Source organism: Homo sapiens, chromosome 10 (genome assembly GCF_000001405.40).
Source record: "Homo sapiens chromosome 10, GRCh38.p14 Primary Assembly".
NCBI lineage: Eukaryota > Metazoa > Chordata > Mammalia > Primates > Hominidae > Homo > Homo sapiens.
This window is the reverse complement of record NC_000010.11, coordinates 74,994,631-75,021,878: the sequence shown is the minus strand read 5'-3', so window position 1 is coordinate 75,021,878 and position 27,248 is coordinate 74,994,631. Positions and strand designations below refer to the sequence as shown.

General features: G+C 41.8%; 1 protein-coding gene and 1 non-coding gene across 36 annotated transcripts in view, besides 1 other annotated feature; both read right to left on the bottom strand.

The window, feature by feature from the left end:
* The window catches only part of KAT6B (lysine acetyltransferase 6B), a 207,689-nt gene that overhangs the window by 10,746 nt on the left and 169,695 nt on the right, over positions 1-27,248 (bottom strand). For all 35 annotated transcript variants that reach the window (XM_047424912.1, XM_047424919.1, XM_047424927.1 and 32 more), the window contains 2 exons: positions 1,066-1,297; positions 594-753 (listed from right to left, as the gene is read on the bottom strand). In XM_047424912.1, the coding sequence (XP_047280868.1) occupies positions 594-753; positions 1,066-1,297 (392 nt within the window). The remainder of the gene's footprint in view (positions 1-593; positions 754-1,065; positions 1,298-27,248) is intronic.
* SNORD172 (small nucleolar RNA, C/D box 172) lies at positions 88-146 on the bottom strand. Its single transcript, NR_145812.1, has one exon. It is a non-coding gene; the product is annotated as a small nucleolar RNA, C/D box 172 (small nucleolar RNA).
* Positions 4,816-4,983: a silencer, noted in NCBI's record as "fragment chr10:76776654-76776821 (GRCh37/hg19 assembly coordinates)". NCBI's record gives its function as "represses an EF-1alpha promoter that drives an FKBP-Casp9 reporter gene in an ReSE screen in K562 erythroleukemia cells {active_cell/tissue: K562}" and the evidence as "EXISTENCE:reporter gene assay evidence [ECO:0000049][PMID:32094911]".

The window sequence follows — 27,248 nt, the reverse complement described above, 5'->3', positions numbered from 1 at the left end:
AAGTGGGGAGGGTAAAAATGGTGGCCAGTGAGAGGGCAGTTACACAGCCAGAGCCTCTGAGGATCAATGGCAAAGTGTCTCTAAGTCGGTTCTGATCAGGACAGCCAGCCAGCCAAGCACATTCCAGCTGCATCATCTCAGGAACCTTTTGCATCAGTTAGGATAACAAATCAAAGAAGATTGGGTTTCATGGGATATTTAACAGTATTAATGATGCAGCGAATTGATTTGAGTCCTTTATCACTACATTACATGCTCACTGGCAAGGAGCACTTTAAGCAAGTTCATAAACACAAAGAATCAATTGACACTGCAGCCTTGGAGCTCAGCACCGAATTTGATCTGATTACATGCTCTCAGTAGTGAAAAATGCTGCTTTGTAATCAATGATAAATGTTTCATTTTTCATACTCAATTCAATAAAATTATCATGTCTTACCATGCAACCTCAGTTAGGATAAATTAGTGCCATATCATTTCACATGCTATCTCTACATAACCAAGCTTTTGACAACGATCTTAATGACTTTCTTAGCTTAAGAATGCTACAAGATTGAAGTTACACAACTTAGGATGATAAAGACAATCATTACCTCTTTCTCAGCTTCTCGCTCTTCTTCAGACACTGCAGCATTAGAAATTAAAATTGGGGTCCACCTCAGACTGTCTGGATCAAGTTCATTGGCTCTGGAACAGGTTTTCAGCTTTTCCATGTGGCTCAATATCAACTTTTCCCGTCTAATGATGACAAATCTGTAATGTGATAAGGCAGAACAAGATGTAATCACAAGCTGAAATTTCACTTCAGCTTCACATACGGACATATGCTAGCACTAATGTTATCTGCGTTAGGAAAAATCAGAAAGCACCTCAATGAGAGGGTACAGAACACTGGAATCCAACCAGTAAAAAAGTGTCATTTCATGTGTTATTTTTAGGAGAAAAGGTTTGATAATACTGTTAGGGAACCTCAGTCTTTAACTGGAATGAATGCACCTATCTCCAGGGACCCTTTCTGGTGTGGGATGCCTGAGCCACGGAGCTGCCCAGGGTCCCAGGACTCACCTGCCATCTCTCTTGTCGATCATGTGGAGGTGCTGCAGAGTGGTGGCAATGTCATGTGGGCACATGCCCGTCGCTCTGCTAATTGCCTTGATGCTGATGTGCCTCTCATGGTGGTGGTAGAGATACTCCAAGATGACGCTCTTCCAATATGCCAGGTAGGAGAGACGGCCCAGATCGGAGAGAGGCTTTTCAGGAGACCCTGCTTGGCCTTCTCTTCTAGAAAGCAAATAGCCTAGGGCAGAAAAAATAAATGGGCATTCCTCACTGTGGCATTCCCAGAGCTTAGAACAGGAGCCACTAGAAATAATATGAGTAGTGACAAGGTAAAAACATCACAACAGAGAAGTGCATTCGCTTTAGGAATGTAGCCTCTTCCCAGTTATAGTGATTTGATCTCCGTGAAGTTTACGCTCCTGAATCTTTGACAGTGGCACTCTAAGTCAATTCACGCAGCTAGCAGCAGCATTCCAAACACATATTGTGACATATTTAACAAAGACTAAAAGCTATGGTTGAAGACATTACTCCTGCTAAGTCTCAACATCTAAGTCTCCCACAGCTTTAGATTCTTTCAAAAACGAAATGTCAGGCACTTACTCAGAAATCCTGTCGAGGGACCACCCCCAACATTAATGGGCAAGTTGTTTTCCACAGGAAGGACCTAATGACCCTTTGACAGCTGGGTCTTAATAAAAAGAGAAGGACCTCTGTTGACTCAGAGTCTATATTGCTTGTTACATTTAACTAGCAGGTTGATCTGAAGCTTTGTTTTAGGACTAATAAAAGAATGTCTTTCAAGTCAACTGCTGCAACTCCCATCAGCTCCACTAGCTCCATTTTCACCTCTTTCATAGAAATTAATTTACAATCCAATCCCAGAATATTGCTCCTACAAATTAAGACAAAACAAAACAAACTCCTTAAAACAACCTATTGCATGTATGCTCAGAAAATCCCCCAGCATCTTAAGCTTTTGAACGCATTTTACAGCATTACTGTGAAGGTTCCTTGGCAAAGGAACTTTAAAAATGGAAAAAAAAAAAAAAAAAGAAACCAGCCCTTTAAATCCACTTGAAGGTAATGAATGAAAGCTGGCGGCTGTCTCAGTAATTAAGAGCCACTTATGGGGTAGAAAAGAAATGCTATAAGCTAATGATGTCTACCTTGCTCTAATTATCTATTTCAACAGCCTCACCTTCATGAACTTCCTAAGTTTAAACAAACATCAACCACATACAGTAGGTGGCAGCAATGACAAAATCATACGGCTCCATAAACCACCCAAATCTTCAGCATTTTTCTTCTTTATCTACATTTCCAAAATGGCTGCATTCTCAAGAATTTTCTCAATTTTAGGGTTATTTTTTGTTAAAGAAGAAATCAATGCCTCTGATGCATTTTCCTGCATCTCAAAATCACTGCAAATACAGTAATGCAGAAATACAAAACAAGAATCCAGCCTGAACCCTCGAAGGGTATAATCACAGCATTTTGCATTTTGATGGCTTTAATCTGAATGCCATTATGAAGAATAGGCGTAAATTTAACTTCAGGTTTTGCTAAGGTCTTTTGACTTATTTGTCTCTTTAACCCATGTTTAAGTGCAAAGTATTTGACTGAATGCAAACAAGCACCGCAACATTTTACAGTGAAACCACTGTCTACATGTAATTTGGCAGCAGATTGGGGCTTTCAATAGCAGTGTGTCAGGAATGCTAACACAGTGATGGCCACTGTGCCGAAGCCAGCCCATATTGTGTCCTGTCAACACGAAGAAGAGCTCTCTACGTCTCTGTGTTGCCAGAGTATGAAGGGAGCCCACACCTCAGAATACAGATAATTGGCACATCCGTCACCTGCCTCCAAAGTGCTTGGCACATGCTGAGAAACGTACCCAGGAGGCTGGGGGGTCCCAGCTTTGTACTCCTGGGGGGGTGAGAACCATAGAGCCGTGGATATAGAACCATTCCCTTTTGTCCATGAGATCCCACAATTGAAAGTCCCCTGCAGTGAGTGTGAAAGTCCCCAGGTCCTCTACTGGTGCTTATTTGAATCCAGCAGTCAAGGACAGAAAGCCCCACTCCTCTCAGCCTTGCTGAAAGAATTCTGTACAACCAAAGTGTTCATACCAAGGTGGTATGTGCCCCCCCATACCTTATGTCCCCCACTATGATGGGCCAGCTTACCCAGAAGCACATGTGTTCCTTTGTTCTGTCTCCCCGCTACAGTCCCTAATCCGGAAGGCAGCAGCAGCCAGCATCAGAAAACCCACGCTTTCCGCAGCTGTTCATGCTTTCACACCCCGAAGTGGTGCACACACACCCTGTCAGGGCCTGAGCCTAAATGGGTTAGGCCACTCAAACCAGCAGGCAACTTGGGGTCCATGGGGAGCATTTAGGCATAAACCTTTTAGCACCTGCTACTCCTACCATGTTAAGTGGCTGTCTCCTGAGACACTCCCTTGGACACAGACTTCAGGCTATGACTGATAGTCACGGAAGAGTCCTGGGGAGGTGGCAGCAGGGTGATCAGCCCTGATGGGTGTGGGTACACTGAAAGCCCAGTGGTCTTTTTCAGCAAACACCCTTGCACTGTGCTTGCAAAGGCCAGGAGAAAGCAGGGAGTGGCCAACACCTGCCAGGAGGCCATGCTTCCCTGGGTGCTGTAAAGAAGACAACTGCAAACCCAAGCTCCAGCCAGAGCACAGCAGGCGGGTGTGCAGGGATGACGTGCACCGACACTGCAGACTGCACAAGGCCACTATCCGAAGGGACCCCTGCATGGCTTGCAGTGGGTTTTTCCCTCTCCTCTCTGACTCATGAGACCCTCAAGGAACTAATAGCAGGAACTGGCACTTATGCCAGGAGCCATTTGGAAGTCCACAAAGTCTACTCACGTAAGAGAAAACAGAATCCATCAAAACGATCAAAATGAACAAAGATACATTTCTGATTCCTTACTAGTTAAATGAACTCACTTGTAATATGTTAAACTGTACAGCTTAGAAGAAAAGTGTGTGTCATGTCCACTCCACTGGCGTGCTTGGTGGATGTAGGACAGAATTCCATTTGAACCAGCAGCAGCACTTCCTCTCAGAAGGCTGCAGCTGGTGGCACTTCACTACTCTGACCCTCATAACATGCGATGTTTTAAAAAACGAATTTCTTGCCACCTTTTGTTTCTTTGTACTTTTTTTTTTTGAGACAGAGACTTGCTCTGTTGCCTAGGCTGGAGTGCAATGGTGCGATATGGGCTCGATGCAACCTCCGCTTCCCAGGCTCAAGCGATTCTCCTTCCTCAGCTTCCTGAGTAGCTGGGATTACAGGCGCCAGTGGCCATGCCTGGCTAAGATTTGCATTTTTAGTAGAGACAGGGTTTCACCATTTTGCCCAGGCTGGTCTCGAACTCCTGACCTCAGTCCCTCAAGTGTTGGGATTACAGGCGTGAGCCACTGTGCCCGGCCTCTATTTTTTTCTAGGCTCTTCACAACATAATTATGATATAGCCCATTGGAAGAAAAATTTTTGGTAAGAACATTTCACTTATTGAGTACATCATAGAGATGTGGTGGTTTAAGTTACAGCTCTTAACTTACCAAAAAAATTCCAAATAATTGATCTAAGATGCAGGGAAATAAAAAACACTTATCTTGGCTGGGCGCGGTGGCTCATGCCTGTAATCCCAGCACTTTGGGAGGCTGAGGTGGGCAGATCACCTGAGGTCAGGAGTTCGAGACCAGCCTGACCAACATGGAGAAACCCCATCTCTACTAAAAACACAAAACTAGCCGGGCATGGTGGCGTGCGCCTGTAATCCCAGCTACTCGGGAGGCTGAGGCAGGAGAATCACTTGAATCCGGGAGGCAGAGGTTGCAGTGAGCCGAGATCATGCCATTGCACTCCAGCCTGGGCAACAAGAGTGAAACTCCATCTCAAAAAAAAAAAAAAAAAAAAAGCACTTATCTTAGAAGCTGGTGTATTATCCTGAAGCATCTGAAACAAGTACAGTACACCCCTGGTGAATAGATTCCCATGGTGCTCTAACACTTCTCCTTAACTCGGGATACTTTCAATCAGAAAACCTCAGCTCTCCCTGGAGAAACCTGGCTGTTTCAGATGGAAAACAAAGTGATGTTTGGAGGACAAATCCCAGTAGCTGCAGTATAATTAATCGCTGGTGAAATTATTCCCTGGAACTTGTCTGTGAGCCAGAGGTGCTGGCCAACAGCACTTACTCTGTGAGTGGGAGCCTTGTAATTGAAAACGGGGTAGCCCATAAACCCCTCATCCACATCAACTATCTTGATCGTAGCAAAAGCTGGCTTCCTCTTTTGCTTTACTGGAAGTACTTATCCTGGGGAAGGTGACATCTGACTTTCAGTATACAGGCCACATAATCAATTCAAAGGATTGTCAAGATGTCTGCTTAAAGGGAAAGGAAGAACAATGTGATTTCTGTCTATAAAAAGTAAGCATTTCTAAGCTGTACTGCATGGAACCCGAGTGTGCCTCACCTCTGTTAAGGCTTAACTACTTGCAGTAAAAGAATCAAATCTCATGTTAACTAGCCCTGAGTTTGAAATGGTTAACTCTCTCCCAGTGGGAGAAAATAAAAGTGGTAGAGAGTTATCTCATGTAGACAGATCTATTAGGATAAGGAAGGAACTATCTAGACAAGGTCAAGATATGTTTTTGCAGACCCAAATTCCCAAATTAAATTTAATTCCCAGCATAATAACTGTAATGTTAACGCTCATTGAAAATGAAAATTCCTTCCCTTTAAACTAGGAGTATTCAAGAGTGTAAATGGACCATAGTAGAATAATGTTCTCAGGCAAGGGCATGGATAGGGACAGGGATCTCCCCCGACAGGGGCAGACACCCTCACCCCTGCACACCTCCATCTTCCACTACCTGGAACCAAACCAAACCATATGAACCTCCTCAAACACCAAAGTGTAAACTTTGGCAAGCTACTCACTCCCAACTTCCATCTCTCTGGATTATGTGAGTTTGGGGTCACCAGCTGCTTTTAGGGGATGATAATCTTTGAGGATTACACACTTTTCATCAGACACCTGTTTAGCTCAGCAAATCCTGCTGAAAGGTCTGTATCAGTCGACGGCACTGGGTTTGCAAGCCTGGGAACAGACACGAGGCCAGGGATTTATGGCAGCTTTTGAGCACAGGAAATCTGATGACTCTAACCAAGTTATCTCATGCTTGGAGATGGCAATTCACTGGTTTGTACGCTCATCTGTTCCTGGTTTCTGGTGCAGAGCAGCACTGACCAACTGGATGAATGGCATGTTATCAGTTTAAATAATGACAAATGAACTTGACAGGCTATTTATATCTCCTCGTTTAAATTTTGTGGTGATTTTGCAATTAGTGCAGAAGGATGCTGAACCTTAGTTCTCACATCATTTTAAGAGAACAGCCGTGCTCTAAATGACCTGTGACCTGCCTGATATCTTACTGCTTTCCACTTATTAAAAGATACAGGTGCCTCCTTGGCAAAGACGGAAATTTTGAATTTTTCATATATTTTACTTTTAAGAGATTGGTGTTGAAACAAGTTTAAGACCTCTCTCCCATAAGTCCTATGGGCATGACATAATTATATAAGAACTTGAATAAATGCTGTTTATCAAGATCTCAGTGTGGAGACCTGTGGCATCAACATCACCTGAGAACTTGCTAGAACTTTAAATTCTCAGAACCTATCTCAGACCTGCTGAATCAGGATCTTTGGTGGGGAGAGGCAGAGCCCAGCATCTGTGCTTTCAGAAGTCCCCCAGGTGATTCTGATGTACCCGAGTTTGAAAACCACCACTAGAACCCTGCTCTGAAGCTGCTGGCTTTGATGAGGGTGTGGCCACTTAAGAGACAGTAGGACTGAAGAATCTCAAATAGGTAAGACCTCACTCAGCTCCTTGGATGCAAGATAATTGGAGAATGGACTCGCCAAAGCCCCACCAGACTGAAATTTGGCTAGAGGTCACTGAGTTGCCAAATCGCTTCGTGCAGATGTTCTACACCTCTGCTTCTCAACTTCCATTGTGCAGACAAACTAGTTCTGGTTAACAGCATGGACTCCGGTTCAGTAGGTCAGGGGTGGGGCTTGAGATTCTGCACCTCTAACAACTTCCTGTGCCATGGACCACACTTGAATAGCAATGGTTTATACTTTAAATCGGTAGTTTTCAAATGCTTTGGCCTCAGCACTCAGAGAGCTTTTGCTTTTAAGGGCTCTATCTATTAATTTTACTGAGAAATTTGACAAATATTTATTAATTCATCTAAAAGATAACGATAAACCCATTATGTAACATTTTTTTAAATTAAAAAAAATCCTATACTTTCTAAAATATAAATAAAATTTATAGTGAAAAGAGTGGCATTATTTTACATGTTTTACAAATCTCTTTAACTTCTGGCTTAAGAGAAGCCAGTTAGATTCTCTCTTTCTCTCTTTATTTTGTTCTTTCTTTTTCTTTTTCAAGAAGACAGGGTCTCCCTATGTTGCCCAGGCTGGTCTCAAACTCTCAGGCTCAAGCGATCCTCCCACCTCAGCCTCCCAAAGTGCTGGGATTACAGGCGTGAGCCACTGCACCCAGCTTGCTAGATTTTCATAGATTGCTTTGGTATTGAGTCTGCTGTGATATCACAGGTCATGACATTCTGGAAAACTCCTCTGTATACTCATGAGAAAATGAAAGTAAAAAGGAAAAAGAGTATCTTAGTACTACTTGGAAAATAATTATGACCTTGTAGACTCCCTGAACCATACTTTGAGACCATGTGCACTAAACAAAGATGAGTTTTTTAAAGCTGGGTAACAGGGCACCCGTATTTTAAAACAATATGTCATATATTGCATACAATACGACAGATCGTGAGAGGCTCTATGGGTGGGTGGAAAGCATGGGCTCTGGAGCCAGACTACCCAGAATGGAATCTGGGGTCCACCATGTACCAGCTGTGTGACCTCAGGGATTTTATTTAACCTCTCTGTGCTTCAGATCCCTCATCCATAAGATGTGAATAATAACTGTACCTAACTGTTACAGTTCTGGTAAGGATTGAGTTAATATGAAACATGCAGAACAGTGCTTGACGCATCACAGTAATCCTAATAAGTGTTAGCTATGATTATTATTCAACATACTGAATGAATCAAGTCTCAAGGTGATCATTTGGGTAACTAAACATCCTTAAGGTAGGGGAAAGAAATAAAATTTGGACAGAAGGGAAACAACAGAGACAGACTGCTCTATAGAATCAGATTGAGAAAAGCTAACTTTGTTTTCCTACTTTTGCCTGAGGAACCTAAAAACCATTCCATGAACTCAGACAGAAGCTCTCCTCTCATCCCACCCTTCCTTCCTCTCCCCTCCCCCCAGCTAACCACCCAGATATCAATTGAATTAAAGAAAGAGGCTATGAAAAAAAATTCTGCCTCAGGAGTGGTCTTAAGAAATGGCAACAAAGTTCCCAGCAAACACAGTTCTGTGCCCCCAAATTCCCTTTGGCCCCTTAGTCCTTAACTTCAAGGACTACCCTTAGGAAATGGCTAGCCCATCCAACCACAGAAACAATGACTGCTTAGGGCTTCAGCAGAGCCCAGGGACAGTCCCAAGACAGATGAAAGACTCAAATATTCAACAAGACTCAAGTGTGTCTCTGGGAAAATGGCCTGACCCAGTGAAACCCTGAGCATGGACACAGCATGTCTTTGGGGAAGGAGGCTGGCTGCCCTGGGTCACATACCAGCCTGTTACTCTAAGCCCCACTCTTAGATCTCTCTTCTCTGGGATCCCACAAGTTCCTCAGCAGACCTCCACTGCTGAGCTCTTCCCCAAAGGGCCACTGATTTTTCTTACTGAATGTCCCCATCCTTTCAAGTCCATTCCAGAGTGGAATGGTCTTCCTTCAACTCCCACAGTGGAAGATGTATGGCAGGAGTGTGACTCCCCGATGCCGTGTGGTGTGCCTGTGTCTCTGAGCTGACTGACCATGCTGGGATTTACCAGATGGTTCCATGGTTCTGTGGGTAGGTGTGGACTCCCTTGCGGGGTTGGTCATTCTGCATGTCAGTCCCCCAGGGAAAGGTACAGGTGCTCAGAAAGAAAATGAACTCACAAGTAGGGCATCAGGCAGCACGAAAGGGGACTTCCCTCCCTCTGCACCGCCCCTGTGTTGAGAAGCGTAGACCTCTGTGGATGTGCTCCTGAGCCGGAGGTGCCAGGATAGCACGTGCCACATGGAAGCAGCCTGAGGGCCAGAGACATCTGTGTGAGATGGCATTTATACCTGATTCTCTTACCCAGTGAGAGAATTAATTGCTCCTTTTTCTTTTATTTTTTGGACACGGTCTCACTCTATCACCCAGGCTGGAGTGCAGTGGTGTGATCTTGGTTCACTGCAGCCTCAACTTTCTGGGCTCAAGAAATCCTCCCACCTCAGCCTCCCGAGTAGCTGGGACAACAAGTGCATACCACCATGCTTGGCTAATGTTTGTATTTTTGTAGAGATGGGGTTTCACCATGTTGCCCAGGCTGGTCTCAAACTCCTCGGCTCAAGCAACCCTCCTGCCTCGGCCTCCCAAAGTGCTGGGATTACAGGTGTGAGCCATTGCACCTGGCCTATTGTTCCTTCTTCTGTCTTCAAGTATAGCCCAGTGGTTCTCGACCCTGCCTGCACATCAGACTCACTTGGGGCTTTAAAAAGCCACAGATGTCTGTGTTCCACCCAACCTCATGACTTGCCTGGTTTCAGATATATTATGGGTCCCAGTAAGGAAAGGGCCTTGGGGGACTATACTTGGGCCAGAATATTAAATGGGGTACAGCACCACTTCTTCATTTTTGCCACCTCACAGGGCTATAGTGGTAGCAGTGGTGCCTAATGAGAAATCCCAGCAGCAGGCAAATCTCTGAACTGACGCAGGGGAGGATGGCCACTCCGTAAACAACTGTGTGATACACTTCACAGAGTTTCATTTCATTAAACATTCAACTGAGGAGTATTTGTGAGTGTATGGTGTGTCACCACAACCGAGTTCCTGGTCTAGTGGATTAGAAGAATAAAAATTTTTTAATAAGGTGACTGACTATGATATAGATTCATCCTTCAATTTCCTTGTTAGGAAAATGAGGCACCTGCCACACAGATAAAATGATCATGGAATGAGAGATGTTATACTCTGTCAGTATCATTTATGCCCAAACTAAAATTGGGGAAGGCAAGAATTTTTAAAAATATGTTGATGTAAGAATAGCTTACCAAATTGTTGAAGTAACCAAATTGTTCACGAAGCCCATTGCCTATCACCAAACTAAGTTAATGCTCTGATTTGTGACCCAGAGGCACTTTCAGTTAGGTAATGAGAAAGCCCCAGTGCTATGGCCTTCAGCATGACAGAAATTAGAAAGGCATGCAGAGGAAGGTCTTCCTCTTTGACCTTTTAAGTTTTCCACAGTTCAAACCACTTTTAAATTCTAGGATATTTTAGGAAAAACACATTTATTTTTAAAAATTTAAAGATGAAGTAATTTGGCATTTTAAAATTATTTCCTCTCTTATAAATAGGCAAAAGTCTACATTAGAGATTCATTAAAAAAAGAAATAGTTTTTGAAATAGAAAATAACACAATTGAAATAGAAGACAACTTAATTCTTCAGTTTTCACTAAAAGAAAGCATTTTAAATACCTGGCTCCCCCTAGGCTTGCTCCCCAAGTTGAAACTTGGATAAAATTTTCATGTCTAAGTTACAAAATTCTGGTAACAAGAACTTACCACTGAAAGGCTTTAAGATGGCAAACTTAATCGAACACATATACACTTTAAATAAAGCATCTGCGCCAAACAAATGACTGCATGCACTTAAAATGCTTTACCTTTAAGATTGTTCTCCTGCTGCGAAAACACTGCGATTGAACATTTTCCTTAACTAAATCACTAAATGCAAAAACTGAGACTTCTTTTGCCTACTTTTATAGGTCTGAGGTTCTACTGAGGCAGCTGAGACACTTCATTCTAATATCTAGTCATCTGGTCTGGTCCAACCCCACAGACCGATGGTGGAGGGTGGGAGAGGGGTGCTATTTACATAATCATGGCAGTACCACTGATTTCAGAACCAGGTTTGGGAGACAGGATGGTTGGAATAGCAACTTGCCTTTCCATTTGCTCTCCTACAAGCCCCCTAAAATGCTGTGTGTATATGTGGAAGGGAGTGTTGTGTGTATGTACCAGCTGTAATTTTTAAAAATAGGACAAAGTATGTTGTAATTCCAATTCTGGATGATGAGCTTTCACACAGCAAACAAAAATACACAGCAAGATTGAAGAAAGAAAAAATGAGAATACAAATCTCCTTAGAAATTTTCTTTGTTTTCAAACAAAGTACATTTCAAAAAGGAATCTGTCAGTTTTGGAGATAACTTTCTAAAATCAAAGTACAGCCCATCACCTAATCTGACTGATCAACCACTGTTGGAAATGTAAGAGAAACTGTCGCTAGTTGTCCTCAGGTTATCTAGACAAACAATCCCACTCCACTGGTCTACTTTTCTTTTCGCTTATTTTTTATTTATCTCCCAAATGCTTTGAAACGTGATTTGAGGTAAGAAGCCTCTGGAGATCAATGGTTGTGTCCCCCCAGGGTTATTGCTGAGCCCCCTCTGAAGCTGTGCAGCACAAAGGCACCCTGGGTAGCGGAGCTAGGGTGGGAGGGGGGCCAGACAAGTGACTGGCTGGTTTGCCCATGGACTTGGTGTCATGTAGGGACTTAGCTTTTTTAATTTGAGATGGAGTTTCACTCTTGTTGCCCAGGCTGGAGTGCAATGGCATGATCTCGGCTCATTGCAACCACCATCTCCCGGGTTCAAGTGATTCTCCTGCCTCAGCCTCCCGAGTAGCTGGGATTACAGGCATGCACCACCACGCCTGGGTAATTTTGTATTTTTAGTAGAGATCGGGTTGCTTCATGTTAGGCTGGTCTCGAACTCCTGACCTCAGGTGATCTGCCTGCCCCAGCCTCCCAAAGTGCTGAGATTACAGGCATGAGCCACTGCGCCCGGCCAGGGACTTAGCCTTTAATCTTAGGGAATCTTAAAGTCCAAACTGGCTACAGTAGATGTTAGCTGTTAGAAAAACAAACACATATGCAGTATCGTCACCAGCAGCATTAAAGACAGCAATGACTACCTCTTAGGTTGTAGATGACACATTTCTCTAAGCCCCTGGAATGAACCGCTATTCTGTCCACTGTTTGGCTAAATTTTAGACTTCAGTAACAATACATTAATATTAGCAGAGCTTCACCACAATATACTAATATTATCCCCATGAGACTTTATATTATGTTAATCAAAGAATCTCCATTCCACCTGCAAAGGCTTGAAATGGTTTTGTGCTATGTCCAACAGTTGAGTGCCTACTAGGTACTAGGTACTTTTCTATTTAGGTTGTATACAGACACTCTATTTTCCAAATTTAATGAGAAAAAAAGCTCTGGGAGTTTAATTTGTTAGCTGGTATGCAACTGCTGAACACAAGAACCACAAACTACGTAAATAACAGGAACTCAAATAGACATGTTAACAGCTAAAGTTCATTTTTAAAAAATGAATTCAATATGCTACATTGCAAGGAATCAATCACACTGCAATCATCATTTACAAATCAAAGTACAACACACATACTCATGGGGGTATATACAACTAGGTAGAAGTGTGTGATTATAGACAAGTAGATTGGAAGTGTAAATTATGTAACTGTCTCTTGTAATTACCCTGCTTGAGAACTGAAACAAACTTCCTGTATAAGTTTTGCAGGAGAATGGAGATTGAGATACAGAATTGCTTTTTAGTTGGTTTTAACCCTTCCACAGCTATTTAATTATGTGTGATGAGGTCAAAGAAAGTTTATGCTTAATTTATGAAAAATTGGCAGGGAGGTATTTCAAAGTAAATCCTCTAAAAAGCTTCCAATTATTAATTAAATCTGGTAATTTCTCTTCCTCTTCAAGGAAGATTTATATAAATTATTAGGTAAAATAAACAATGTTTAAAACAAATTCACGGGCATCATTCATTTTATTTCCTCTCTAAAAACATTCATTATGTTCTACAAGTTTTTAACTGGATGCAACTCAAAAGCTACAGGGATGAAAGGCTGTCTTCAGAGCATCTTCTGCTTTGGTAGAGAAAAATCTTATTAATGTCCTTAACTTCATGGAGAAAAGCTCCAACGCTGGGTGAACCCCAGGGCAGGACTCCTAGTCTATGAACAGACAATCACCTTCTTAAGAAGAAGGAAGCCTGTTTTTCTGATAAATAGCAGAGCCTCATTTCAGGACATTTTAAGTCATCGTAGCCTTTTTCTTCCCTTTCTTAAAAATCTAACTTTTAACATCTTTTCTCTAAGTTCTGTTTCTAGTGCCTAAAGATCTACCACAAATTTTAGAACTGCTCAGCAACCTAGGAGGAGGAAAGAGCAATTTTCCTGTACACATCTTACAGTGTCTGCTGGTGCTGTTCTTCCCACAAAAAAAGAAAAATGGGAAAACAGTTCTCATGCTGCAGTGTCTCTTCTTTCTCTCCTCGGGCTCACAGTTAAATATTTTCTCTGTACTCCATCCTCACTCTGCATCACCATTCCTTGTCCGAATCCTCCATTTCATCCTCATTCTGTTAACGCACAACCCTTCAATTATGTTTTTCTAAGTTTAAGAGTGAAAGTGAAATTTACAGGAATGCTGTTCTCTAATGAACTAGACTCAACACTTCAGAGGATTTGATTCAAGTAAATTTCAGTACATTTCCTTCACATAAAAATGGCTCTGCAAAGGCTGACATGGAGTTGATGCCCGTACACTAAATACTTGTGCACTCAAGTTTTCATTTTCAAGCAGTCAAGGTGAAAACTGTGTCTCTCTTTAAAACATGACTAGTAGGATGCCACCAATAAATCGAGTAAGTTTTCAGTTTCAAGAGTTACAAAAACCCAAGCACTAAGATACCATAGGATGTCACCTCCCATTTTAAGATGATTGCTTTCTAAAAAACAAAAATAAAACAGAGATACATAAAATGACAAAAAACAAATACACAGCTTAATGGATTATTATAAGGCAACTGTCCTTGTAACTATCACCCAGGATCAAGAAATAGAAGTTTGCCGGCTACTCCAGAAAACTTTCTATCCGCTCCAGCCAATCACCTCTCCTTTCTCTCTCATAAGTAACCACTATCCTGACTTTCACAATAATCTCTTGCATTTTTTTATACTTTCATCACCAAAACAGTCCAGGCACTAGAACAGTCTTGCCTATTAAAAAAAAAAATCTTAATGTCATTTTAATCTAGGGGTTCCACCTTCACCCCTTTCTTTTCCTTGTAATCTATCTGTGGTTGAACTGGGGCCACTTGACCTATACTGTCCTCACTCTGGATTTTGCTGATCTCCTACTTGCACTGCAGCTCAGTATGCTCCTCTTTACTCTGTATCTCTTGCAAAATGGTAACTAGATCCAGTGCTTGATTGATTAGACTTGGGTTCCATCCACTGGCAAGACTACAAATATCCTTGATCAGAAGATAGATAATTTCTGGTTGTCCTTTTTGCAACTGTTGATGTTGTTCATTGTCTAGATCCATTAATTCATGGTGGTGGTGGGGATTACAAAATGGTTATATTTTAATTCTGTCATTTTCTTTTCTTTTTTTTTTTTTTTTGAGATGGAGTCTCACTCTGTTGCCCAGGCTGGAGTACAGTGGCACGATCTCAGCTCACTGCAACCTCCGCCTCCCGGGTTCAAGGGATGCTCCTGCCTCAGCCTCCCAAGTAGCTGGGACTACAGGTGCATGCCGCAACACCCGGATAATTTTTTGTATTTTAGTAGAGATGGAGTTTCACCATGTTGTCCAGGCTGGTCGTGAACTCCCTGAGCTCAGGCAATCCGCCTGCCTCGGCCTCCCAAAGTGCTGGGATTACAGGTGTGAGCCACCGTACATTTTATTTTCATTGGTTAGCTGGAATATGTTTATAAAAAGATGTTTCTGGCCAGGTGCAGTGGCTCATGCCTGTAATCCTATCACGTTGGGAAGCCAAGGCAGATGGATCGCTTGAGCGCAGGAGTTCAAGACCAGCCTGGACAACATAAAGAGACTACAGAAAATGAAAAAATCAGCTGGGCATGGTGGTGTTTACCTGAAGTCCCAGTTACTCAGGAGGCTGAGGTGGGAGGATCTCTTGAGTCTAGGAGGTGAGGCTGCAGTAAGCTGAGATCGCACCACTGCACTACAGCCTGGGTGATAGAGCAAGACCCTGTCTCAAAAAATTTTTAAAAATTTAAAAAATAAAATGATGTTTCCCCTCCTTTACTACTTGATTACTTCACTGTACAGTTTATGTAAGAAAGGCAGGATAAATGTTTTAATTGCAATTTTTGCAGCTTTCAAGAAAATAAACTGGTTCCTATTATCCTCTAAATCAGTTTGTTTTTTAGTATCATTATGAACTTGTGAATTTAAACATTTGACAAGTTGCAATAAATTGCAATTTTTTATCTTTATTATTATATTTATTGTCTGGTCAGAACCTCTTCAAATTGACTCCTGAGTCTTTTTGACATGACCCTAACAATTTTTGCTTCCTTGCTGTCTAGTATGACAAGGAGGACTTTTGTTTTGTTTACAGAAATAACTCTTCGACTTCATTTAAAATGATGACTGTATTTGCCCCCAAAAAAGGACATATGCAAATTTATTGTGGAGACTGACGTCCGCCTGTATTACATTTTCTCATGATTTCAGCAACACCTTTTCGTACCTTCTGCCGTGTAATTGTGCTGCATATTTATTTCCATGTGGACAAATGGTTCATGTGAAACTGAATTGCTTTTAATCCACCCAACCATTTTTATACACTTTAGAAACATTAATTTAAAACAATTTTGCTGAAAAAAAGCGTTCCTCTATGATGTTAACTCAAAGCAGGACTCCATATAAATAATTACAAAAAAGGTTTTTATATTGGTAAACATGAAAATGTAGCATGAATATTAGAGTACAAACATGCTAACCACAAATCCATGGGGGAGAAAAAAAATCAGATTCCTAACTAGTATTTTCCTAAACAATTCTAAACAAGTTAAGGAAAACCTTTTGTTTTACCCAATATGAAATTATATTTAAAAACAAACAAACAAAAAACCAACAACCAACCAACCAACCAACCAAAAAACTACCTTACAACCAGCTGAAGTTATAGTTGTGTTGTTTAGGGCCAGGCGTGGTGGCTCATGCCTGTAATCCCAGCACTTTGGGAGGCTGAGGTGGGTGGATCGCTTGTATTCAGGAGTTTGAGACCAGCCTGGGCAACATGGCAAAACCCTGTCTCTACTAAAAATACAAAAATTACCCGGGCATGGTGGCACGTGCCTGTGATCCCAGCTACTCAGGAGACTGAGGCAGGAGAACTGCTTGAACCCGGGAGGCAGAGGCTGCAGTGAGCTGAGATCGTGCCACTGCACTTCAGCCTGGGCAACAGAGCAAGACTCGGTCTCAAAAGAAAAAAAAAAAAAGAACAAAAAAACGAAATGCCATCATGAGAGGGGTAAGTGGAAGCAAACTTTTATCTTAGAATATTCTATCTCAAACATAATGTCTCTATTACAAGCTGGAATATATGTTCAAGGGGGAATAGTTCTCTTGAAACCCAAATGAGGTATAGCACTAATTTCAACCAAGCAGAGCAAAATCTTTCTTGATCTTGTTTTAACAACAGCTCAGGGCATAGTGGCTCACACCTGTAATCCCAGTGCCTTGGGAGGCCGAGGCAGGAGCATAACTTGAAGCCAGGAGTTGGAAACCAGCCTGGGCAACAAAGCAAGAGCCTGTCTCTAGCTGACCCCCCACCCCTCCCCCTGAAAAATGGCCAGGAATGGTGGCATGTGCCTGTAATCCCAGCTACTTGGGAGGCTGACATGGGAGGATCACTTTAGCTCAGGAATTCAATGCTGCAGTGAGCTATGATCACGCCACTGTACTCCAGCCTGGGTGACAGAGTGAGACCCAGTCTTTAAAAAGAAAAGCAAGGAAAAATGCGTCTCTTCTATATATCTTAACTGGGTAAATGGAAAATAGAGTTGGAAGCATTTCCTCCTCTGCACTGCCACAGCCTCTCTGAAATTTGAAATTGCAGGACTGGGAAGAATTTTGTGTCTGACCCTCTACTTCCCTATGGGCAAGGACTAAATCATTCATCCTTATGTCCTCATCACCTAGACCATCCCTGGCACAGTGTATTTAAAGCATGTTTGCTGAAGGATGGGATGAAGGGATAAATAAAGTGTAAAAAACAAAGACTGAGAGGAGATCTGAGTTTAAGCACTACTGGTCAAAAGCTAGCTGGATGCATCTGGCAGGTGTTGACAGTCATACAAAGAAGTGGATTAACTAGACTCAGGCATTCATTGATTTCCCCCAACAATCCTTTATTCTGTATCCTCTATGTGCTAGGCACTGTGCTCATGGCTTGGAGTTTAGCAATGACCAAGTTCCTGCCCTCTTGATGGTCCCACTAAGGTTTCATTTTGTTCCAGTTCTGCTGAAGATTAGGTTATTCTCATACCAATTATTTGAATGGAATTTGTCCAGTAGTGGATTTCAAAATAACTCAATGCAAATGCCAGTCAACGTTAGAAATCCAAACAGACAAAAAATTTGTTTGGTAAAAAAAAAAAACCAACCACCTGCATGCCAAAACTTGAAAAAATTCTGAGCTATGTAAGGCAAAACACTAGCTTTCAGAAAAAATGAGAGAGACTGCAGACCGTATGTTTCATATTTACAATGTTTTCATTGAGGCAATGAATACAAACTATTCTATAAGAGCTATTTATTTGCTCTTATTTATGACAAGCTTAGCTTAAAAAAAGATACACAAATAAATCGTTAGCCGCACTGTCTCATGCAACTCATTTCAATGCATTCAGCAACAGTCAACCTCTGAATAAATCACTGAGAGCTCAATTTTCAACCTTGATGTTATCTTTAGCATATTAAAATATATTGTACCTCAGACCAATATAATAAAACAGTAATGGCAGAAGCTTTTAGTGTAACATATTATAATGAGAAAATAAGGAAAAATAGCCATTTTCCTTATTATATTACAGACTAGAATCCTATTAAAATAAATGTCATCATTATACTTGATTACATAGGTCAAAATGTGTCTTCCAAAACCCAGCAAAAGCCCAAGGATATAGCTGCTGGTCCAGTATTTTCCAACAAGTGTCATGGGGGCAAAGGTGGGAGGCTCCTTATCTTAGAAAAGGCTATGAAGTACTTGAGCACCATTTCAAAAGCATAACTTATTATTCTTTAATGATTGCCTTGACTGCACTCACCCAGGAGCGTAGCTGCTGGGAAGGCTAAGCAAAGAGAAGCTTTCTTGACAGCTTCTTATGGCTAAAGCTGGTATTTTCCTTTCAAAAATAAATGCAATCAAGAAATGAATTATCTGATAAGAGAAAAAGTAAGCAAAAGATTTAAGTGTCTCTTCAACCTGCTATGTACAAATGTGGATTATGTCACAGCTCTGCTTTCTCCGCCCAAGGTTTAGAGCAGGCAGTGACATCTTCTTTCTGATGCAACTGAAATGATCTTAAGATAGAGGCTGCATTTCAGCAAAAGTACCAGACCTCGAAAGAAGACAGGGCATACCTAGCATCATTTGGAAGTAAGTAAACCAGTGCTGATGGTTTATGTTCTAATAAAATAAAATTGTCCCTAAGAATCACACACTAGAAGGGAAAGCACATTTTAAAAGTTCTTCCCGTCATAATTAATTTAACATTTGTTCAACAATTAATAAGAACCTACTAAGCGCCAGGCTCTTCTAGAAGATCAGAATGCAGCAAAGAGCAAAGTCCACACTCTCATGAAGCTTACTTTTGGTGAAAGACATGGGCAATCAACAATAAATACAGTCATGCACCACATAATGATGTTTAGGTCAACGATGGACCACATATTCAATGGTAGTCCCATAAGATTATAACAGCATATTTTTACTGTACCTTTTCTATATTTAGATATGTTTAGATACAAAAATACCATTATGTTACAACCACTAACACCTACGGTATCCAGTACAGTAACTGCTGTCCAGGTTGGTCACCTAGGAGCAATCAGCTATGCCACATAGCCTAGGTGTGTAGTAACCTATAGACTTCGACTTAGGTCTGTCTAAGTACATACACTATGATGTTCACACGACAATGAAGTTGCCTAATGGTGCATTTCTCAAAATGAATCTCAGTTTTTAAATGATAAATGACTGTATATAAAAGACCTATGCAAGTTTATAAATGACTCTGCACTTGCTTAGCCTAGTTTGTTGTTGTTTTTTTTTTTTGGTTAGTGCCACTAAAAAGAGAGAGAGAGAGAAAACTAAATAACACAAGTCCCTAAGAGATGCTGTCATGGTCCCTCCAAACACATTTCTGAGGCTTGTTTGTGGGGCCTGTAAGTGGGGAAAGTGGAATATTTACTCTGCAGCCTCCCCCAGACAGACTTTATGATTCAAGTGAGTGCTTCATGATCTCCCTCATCATGTATATGACAGAATTTACACAGCTCCTGAGGCTGCTAGAGGTGAGGTGACAGGCACTGGAGCTCTGGACACCCAGGAGCAAAGGGAGCAATATCTCTGCTACCCATACCCATCCTCAGGTCCTGTCTTGGGAGGCACAGCCCTAAGCTGACCACACGGTGCAGAGACGGCCAGAGACCCTTGCTGGAGAGCACAGTTTCTCACCAGGGCCTTGAGGCTGGGATGCAGCTCCTGAGGGTAAGCCATGTGCCCTGATACTGTGCTCACCCTGCCCTCTGGGAGAAGCCGGTGGCTCCTGCACAGCCCTGGTTCCAGGGGGCGTAATACAGTCAGGTGAAACGGCTTACTGGAATCCAACCAACTGGACTTCTAAATGAAAACTCCTGTTTTCCAGAGGAGATAGGCCAGTGGGTATCAAACATTTATTTCAAGAAGGCAATTTTCAGGTAGGATGAAACCACTTAGTCTCTACTTAAAAACACTCTTAAGTTTCACTTAAATTGTATTTTGAAAAGCTTGTAAGTGGAAGCTCTTTTAAACAAAATAGCCCACTGAAGGCAGACTGTGAAAACTAGTAGTAGCTGGCAACCTGAACTACTATGACACGTACTTCTGTATTTAGCCATCATATAATACAACATTTAAACCAGTAGCTTGCATCTAAGATTCTGGGAAGAAGCAGCTTTCTCTCTGAGAGAGTGGATATGATTAGCCTCCTGACATGATACCCCCCTGGGTAGAAATGAAGTATGTGGCTTTCTTCCTAATTCGCTTTATGGACTTAAAAGGGCAGAGAAGCAGGGAGCAGGAAACCAAAGAGAAGATGCTTTTCTCTTCCAATGCGGTGCTTCCTCAAGAAATCAGCCAAGAACTATTCAGAGGCTAAAGGAGAAACAAGCCCGGGGATCTCTACGGACGTGGGTGGTTGTGGCACCTAAAGAAGAAATCTCTGTCATTAAACCAGAGGAGGAAAGAACGACGGTGCAGAAAACCACACTGATTAATACTCAAGTGAGAAAGGAACTAAGGTACTAAATCATACCCTAAAGCATCTTTCCTCAAAAGTTTATTGTAGTTCCTGCTTTCCTTAAATCCGGTTGGCTGTATATGTGTGTGGGGGGCAGGGGTGGAGGGGAGTATCATTTCTAAAAAAGGGGACATGTAGAAGGACGCTGCAAACCACACTGAAGACAAGAGCCAAATTCATAACCTGGAGGCACAAAACTGGGCCATTTGCACCATCTTCTAGCAGCGCTGATTAATTATAGACTCAGTTTTTAAATAGCACACGGACCTCACAAAAGCTAAGGTGAAACCCTCAACATATGAAGAGCCAGCAAAGGGAATTCCCCGAAGTGAATGCCTAATTCATTCAATCACTTCTGCTTCCTATAGTTACAGCCTTGTTCCATGAAGGACTGCCCAATATTTTAATACTGAATAAAGAAAGCCAAAAATTGAAACTGCTGACACATTTTTATGATTATTCCACAAACATACTAATTTTAGAAATGCCTGAATGTACAATTAACTGATATTTAACTTAACTGACGAACTTGCCATTAATTAATATTAATGGCAAGTTTATCTGGTCTCTAAAAACTATAGACGTAAGTCTGTAGACTTGGATCCAGCTGTCCTTTACCCTTTATAGCGTTAGTTACACGTCCGTCTGCCCCCGATAAAAAAGAAAAAGTTAATCTGAGATTTAGAACCCTTATAGTTCTAGTTAGTAGGTTTAAGTATTTTAGTTAGGAGAGAATGTTGAATTTCATCAAATGCCAGATCAGACTTTGTAATAAACCACCTGCCTGGATGTTGCTTTTTGTTTTCCCCTCGATTTTTTCCATCAGCGCTGCTCTTTCTTTTCCCTACTGATGTACATACACATGCTCCAGGCTCTCCAGCTTAAAAATAAAGACAACTAGGTTCCTGTGTCCCCAGCCCTTGACAGTCAAGCTTTTGTTTTGTTTTGTTTTGCTTTGTTTTAAAAAAAGAAAAAAAAAAAAAGACAGAGTCTTGCTCTGTCGCCCAGGCTGGAGTGCAGTGGGGTGATCTCAGCTCACTGCAACCTCTGCTTCCCAGGTTCAAGTGATTCTCCTATCTCAGCCTCTTGAGTAGCTGGGACTACAGGCACATGCCACCACATCCATATTTTTGTATTTTTAGTAGAAATGGGGTTTCACCATGTTGGCCAGGCTGGTCTTGAACTCCTGACCTCAAGTGGTCCACCTACCTCAGACTCCCAAAGTGCTGGGATTACAGGCGTGAGACGCTACGCCCAACCAAACAGAATAAAACAGTCAAAAGCTTTTTGAATCTACTTTTAATCGCACTTAATATACAGTTGTCCAAAGAATACTTCTTATGACTTTCTCTCTGGGGCACTGAATCTCTGGGGGATGATCTTAGACAAGTCTCTTAGTGTCTCGTCCCAGAAGAGAGATGGTCACAGTAACCTACCCCATAGGGTCTCCGTGAGGACTAAGTGAGTAAATGTGTGTAATTCCGGTAACAGTGCCTGACACATAGCAAGGGCTCTAGAAGTGGCAGCTATGATGATTATTGTGACTGTTACTGTTGAAATACTGACCTCTTCTGGTTTTCCTAACACCATTATCTCCCAATTTTCTTCTGACTTCTGGGCCCTTTGCAAATTTCCTTGGCGAGCTCCTCATTCTTTATTAGTCCCTTAGATGTTAACACTCCAAGCACTCCACCCTCAGCCCTGTTTCCCTATACACTTCCCCCTGGTTGCCCTCACCCACATCCATGGTTTCAGCTACCACCGCATGTCCACGACTCCCAGCTGCTCCCTCTAATGCAGACCCCCTGCTGAGCTCTGGAGTCTGTGCAAAGTGCACGTAGACATCCAAACGCACAGTGAAAGCTACATAAAGCTGCGCTCACTATCTCTCCAAGCTCAGTTATGCATTCAATAAATACCAGTATTTTCTGAGCACCACTCTGCACCAGGCATGCTCCTGCTACGGAACGAACAGGACCTGCCTCTTTTCCATGCATCCTCACTGTCAGGCCTCCATTGACTCTGGCCTCTTTTCTTTTTAGTTACAGCAAAAAGTATAAATAAGAAAATAAAAAGTATCTGTAATTCTAATTCCAGAGGTCATCTAGAAATGTATTTGTTTTGCTTTGCATATTTTTTACATAATTGAGAACATATTACATATATAATTTTGAAAGCCACTTGCTTATCACAAGCATTACAAATTCCCAGATAATTTTTTTTAAGAAACAGGGTCTGGTTCTATTGCCCAGGTTGGAGTGCAGTGGTGCAATCATAGTTCACTGAAGCCTTGACCTCCTGGGATCAAGCCATCCTTAATGGAGGACTCAGCCTCCTGAGTAACTGGAATTACAGTCACAAGCTACCAGGCCCAGCTAATTTCATTTATTTATTTTTGTAGAGATGGGGTCTTACTATGTTGCCCAGGCTGGCCTCGAACTCCTGGGCTCATGTGATCCTCCTGCCTCAGTCTCCCAAAGATTACAGGCATGAGCCACTGCACCTGGTCAGAACATAATTCTCAGCAGCTAATAATATTCCATTATATGGATGTGCCATAACTTTCTCGTGGGAATGGTTCTCTCTTGCCTTTGAAATATCAAGTCTGTTTTAGTTTTTTACCTGTTGTAAATAATGAGTGTGAAGGACAAATATACCAAAACATTAACTCTCTGGGTGACATTTTCTTCTATTAATTACACCTTTTTTTTTAACTTTCTACTATGAGTCCATATTGCTATAATCAGGGGCTGGGGGAGGGAGGCAAAAAGAGAAGTCCACTATTTAAAACATAATAATATGAAACAAAATAATGTTGCTATATTAACTATGAAAATAATGTTTGTTGATTAAAATATGCTGATTTCCCTAGAATGAATTCCTTTAGAAAATAACCATTGGAGGCTGGGCACGGTGGCTCACACCTGAATCCCACACTTGGGAGGCCAAGGCAGGAGAAATGCTTGAGCTCCATAATTTGAGACCAGCCTGGGCAACATAGCAAGACCCTGTCTCTATTTTTTGTTTTATGTATTACTTTTTGAGATGGAGTCTCACTCTGTCACCTGGTTGGAGTGCAATGGCACAATCTCAGCTCACTGCAACCTCCGCCGCTCAGGTTCAAGTGATTCTCCTGCCTTAGCCTCCCGAGTAGCTGGGATTACAGGCACCCATCACCACGCCCGGCTATTTTCTGTATTTTTAGTAGAGACAGGGTTTCGTCATGTTGGCCAGGCTGGTCTCGAACTCCTGACCTCAGGTGATCTGCTTGCCTTGGCTTCCCAAAGTGCTGGGATTACAGGCGTGAGCCACTGTCCCCAGCCTAGTTTTTAAATACATAAAATTTTATTAAAAAAAAAAACCATTAGATGTTTTTGATACACACTGTCAAAGTTCCAGAAAATGCCTACCAATATACACTTTCTTCAGTGTAAATAAGGTGTCCATTTTCCACCAGCTTAGTTAGATTTGGGTAAGTTGTAAACTCTTTGTTAGTGTGGTAGGCAAAAAATTGTAATCTTGCAGTTACTAAATTTGCATTTTTAAACCACCAACAATTTTTTTTTCATATTTGAATTAGCCATTATACCTAAGAGACTTCGGAGTGGAGTGGCTAACAGTTAAAGTGCTTGGGTTCAATTTGCAGCTGTGCAACTTATTTGTGTAACTGTGCCTCAATTTCAACACCCATAGAATGGGGCTAAAAGCACATATCTCAACTGTTGCCGTGAGGACTGAATGAATCAATCAATAAATGCAGGACTCTTAGGAAAGGGGTTGGCACATGTTACTCACTCAGTAAATGTCAGCAATGTCGTGGCCACCAGTGATTTTCCTTTTCTGTACATTCTGTGTTCCTGTCCTCTGCCTATTTGTTTATGTATTTATTGAGAGACGAGAGAAGGAGGGGAATGGGGGGGTGGGGAGAACAGGGGGAGAGAGAGAGAGAGAAAGAGAGAGAGATGGTCTCCTTGTGTTGCCCAGGCTGGTGTTGAACTCCTGGGCTCAAGTGAGTCTCCTGTCTCGGCCTGCCAGAGTGCTGGGATTACAGGTATGAGCCACCATAGCTGATCCTCTGCCCATTTCTCTATTAGGGTTTTTGTTTTAATGCTACCAAACTTAAAAGTATATATATATTTATTTAAACACTATAGATATTAAACTTTGCCTAGCACATATGTTGTAAACATCAAACATCTTTCTCATTATGTTTGCTTTAAATATTAATACTTTTTACTAGATAGAAGTTCTATATTTTTATATAGTCAAGTCTATCTGCATATTCTTTCATTGCTTTGATGGTTATGATGTCCTTGACCATCCAAAGATCAGATAAATAATTATACATAATCTCTCCTCTAGCTTTTTTTTTTTTTTTTTTTTTGAGACCGAGTCTCGCTCTGTCGCCCAGGCTGGAGTGCAGTGGTGCGATCTCAGCTCACTGCAAGCTCCGCCTCCCAGGTTCAAGTGATTCTCCTGCCTCAGCCTCCCGAGTAGCTGGGACTACAGGTGTGTGCCACCACACCCAGCTAATTTTTGCATTTTTAGTAGAGACGGGGTTTCACCATGTTAGCCAGGATGGTCTCGATCTCCTGACCTCGTGATCTGCCTGCCTCGGCCTCCCACAGTGCTGGGATTACAGGCGTGAGCCACCGCACCCCACCTCTCCTCTAGCTTTTTAAGTGTTTCTGTGTGTCTGTTTTTTGGTAATCAAGTCTTTAATCTACCTGGAGTTTCTGCTGTAGTTACCCAGGTATGTAACATGCTTCCTCACGCAGTCATGCTTGTGAATATGCTGCTCCCCTCTGCCTAGAATGTTTTCATTTCAACTTCTTATGAGCTCTCAAGGCATACTGTCCAAAATACTATGCAACATTTGTTGATTTGTCAGTGAACTTGACAGCCCAGCAAGAGCTATGTCTTCTTCCCTTTTGGTTGCTGATGTTTAGCAGAATGTAGAGTGTGGTATCCCAATCAATAAGGTTAAAGTAAAGAGGTAAAAAATGAAGGACATGACTCTTCGCATCTTCCTTTATCCTCCAGTTTGGCATCAGATAAATGCATATACACAAACACACATGTGAGTGATGGTGCCACCTCCCTCACCACCATCTGGCACTTGGTTCTCTCACCTACTGCTGAATCAGTTGGTGTTCCCTCGGTCTCTCCTGGGTCAGAGCCCAGGAGAACGGGTTTTGTATCCTGCCCATCAGCCAGGGTTCTGGCTCTGCAGGCCCGAGTAAAAGACAATTCATTATCTGCTCACTTATTACCTAGCCAAACAGAGTCCTAACAACTGAAAGGATATCTAATATACAATAACTGCTACCTAAGTATCTATCAGTCAAAATATGCCCAAGATTACTCATGACACTACTTTTTAAACTGCAAAATATTGGAAACAACCTATAAACCCATACATAGGAAAGCAGGTAAGCAAACTGTATACATGCATGCAACGGAGTAGAGTGCAGCTGTCAAAGAAAAGAAATCTCTATGAAGTCATTTCCAGGATATACTGGAAAAATCAAAATGCAAAAGACTACCTATAGTATGCTACATTTTGTGTTAGAAAGGAGGAGAAATTAGAAAAATGCACATCTATCTGCTCATTTGTACACAAAGAAACAGGAAGGATAAACTACAAGCTAATGAGATTGGAGACCTGCAGGAAAGGATGAGGGAATGGGAATGGGTAGAGAGGGCACATTCACTGAGAATACCCTTTAATACAGTTTCCATTTTTAAAATCATGTTAATGTTTTACATTCTAATTTAAAAAGGTAACAAGTATAAAATAAAAAACAAACAGAAACAAATAAGCCTAATTGTATTCCAATGAATACTACAGTAACACTGAAGGGGGAGAAAAACTAACTCTAGTAACATTTAAACACAGTGTTTTGACTAAATACACTTGGGGTAAAGCCAAAAGGAACCATATATAAATATTGACCTCCACTTAAGAGGTTTGTTTTTCACAATGGCATGAGTTAGTAATTCTGAAACTACTTACTGTGTATTCTAGGGTGTAGCACATAAGTATATTGTGGGTAATGGAAGTCAGGGTTCTCACTGTCAGAGAAAGGAATTACATGGGAAGAGGGAAAGACAGAATACAACCGTATGGTGGCGCAGATCTGGAATGGTCTGAACTCATGAAGGGAGTGTGTGTGTACACGCATATGTGTTTATAACACCCATATGTATATGTGCACATACATGGATATAAATATGCATGCTATCCTAGCTCTGTCCTCTGAGAGGGCTAGAAGCAGTGACACCCAAGCAGCAATGGGCACATTTAAGTGATCAGAACTTGGTTTCCTCCATTTTTTTTTTTTTTTTTAACAGATGAAGTCTTGCTTTTTCACCCAGACTGGAGTGCAGTGGTGCAATCTCAGCTCGGTGCAATCTCAGCTCACTGCAACCTCCACCTCCCGGGTTCAAGCAATTCTCTGCCTCAGCCTCCCAAGTAGCTGGGACTACAGGCGCCTGCCACCAAGCCCGGCTCATTTTTGT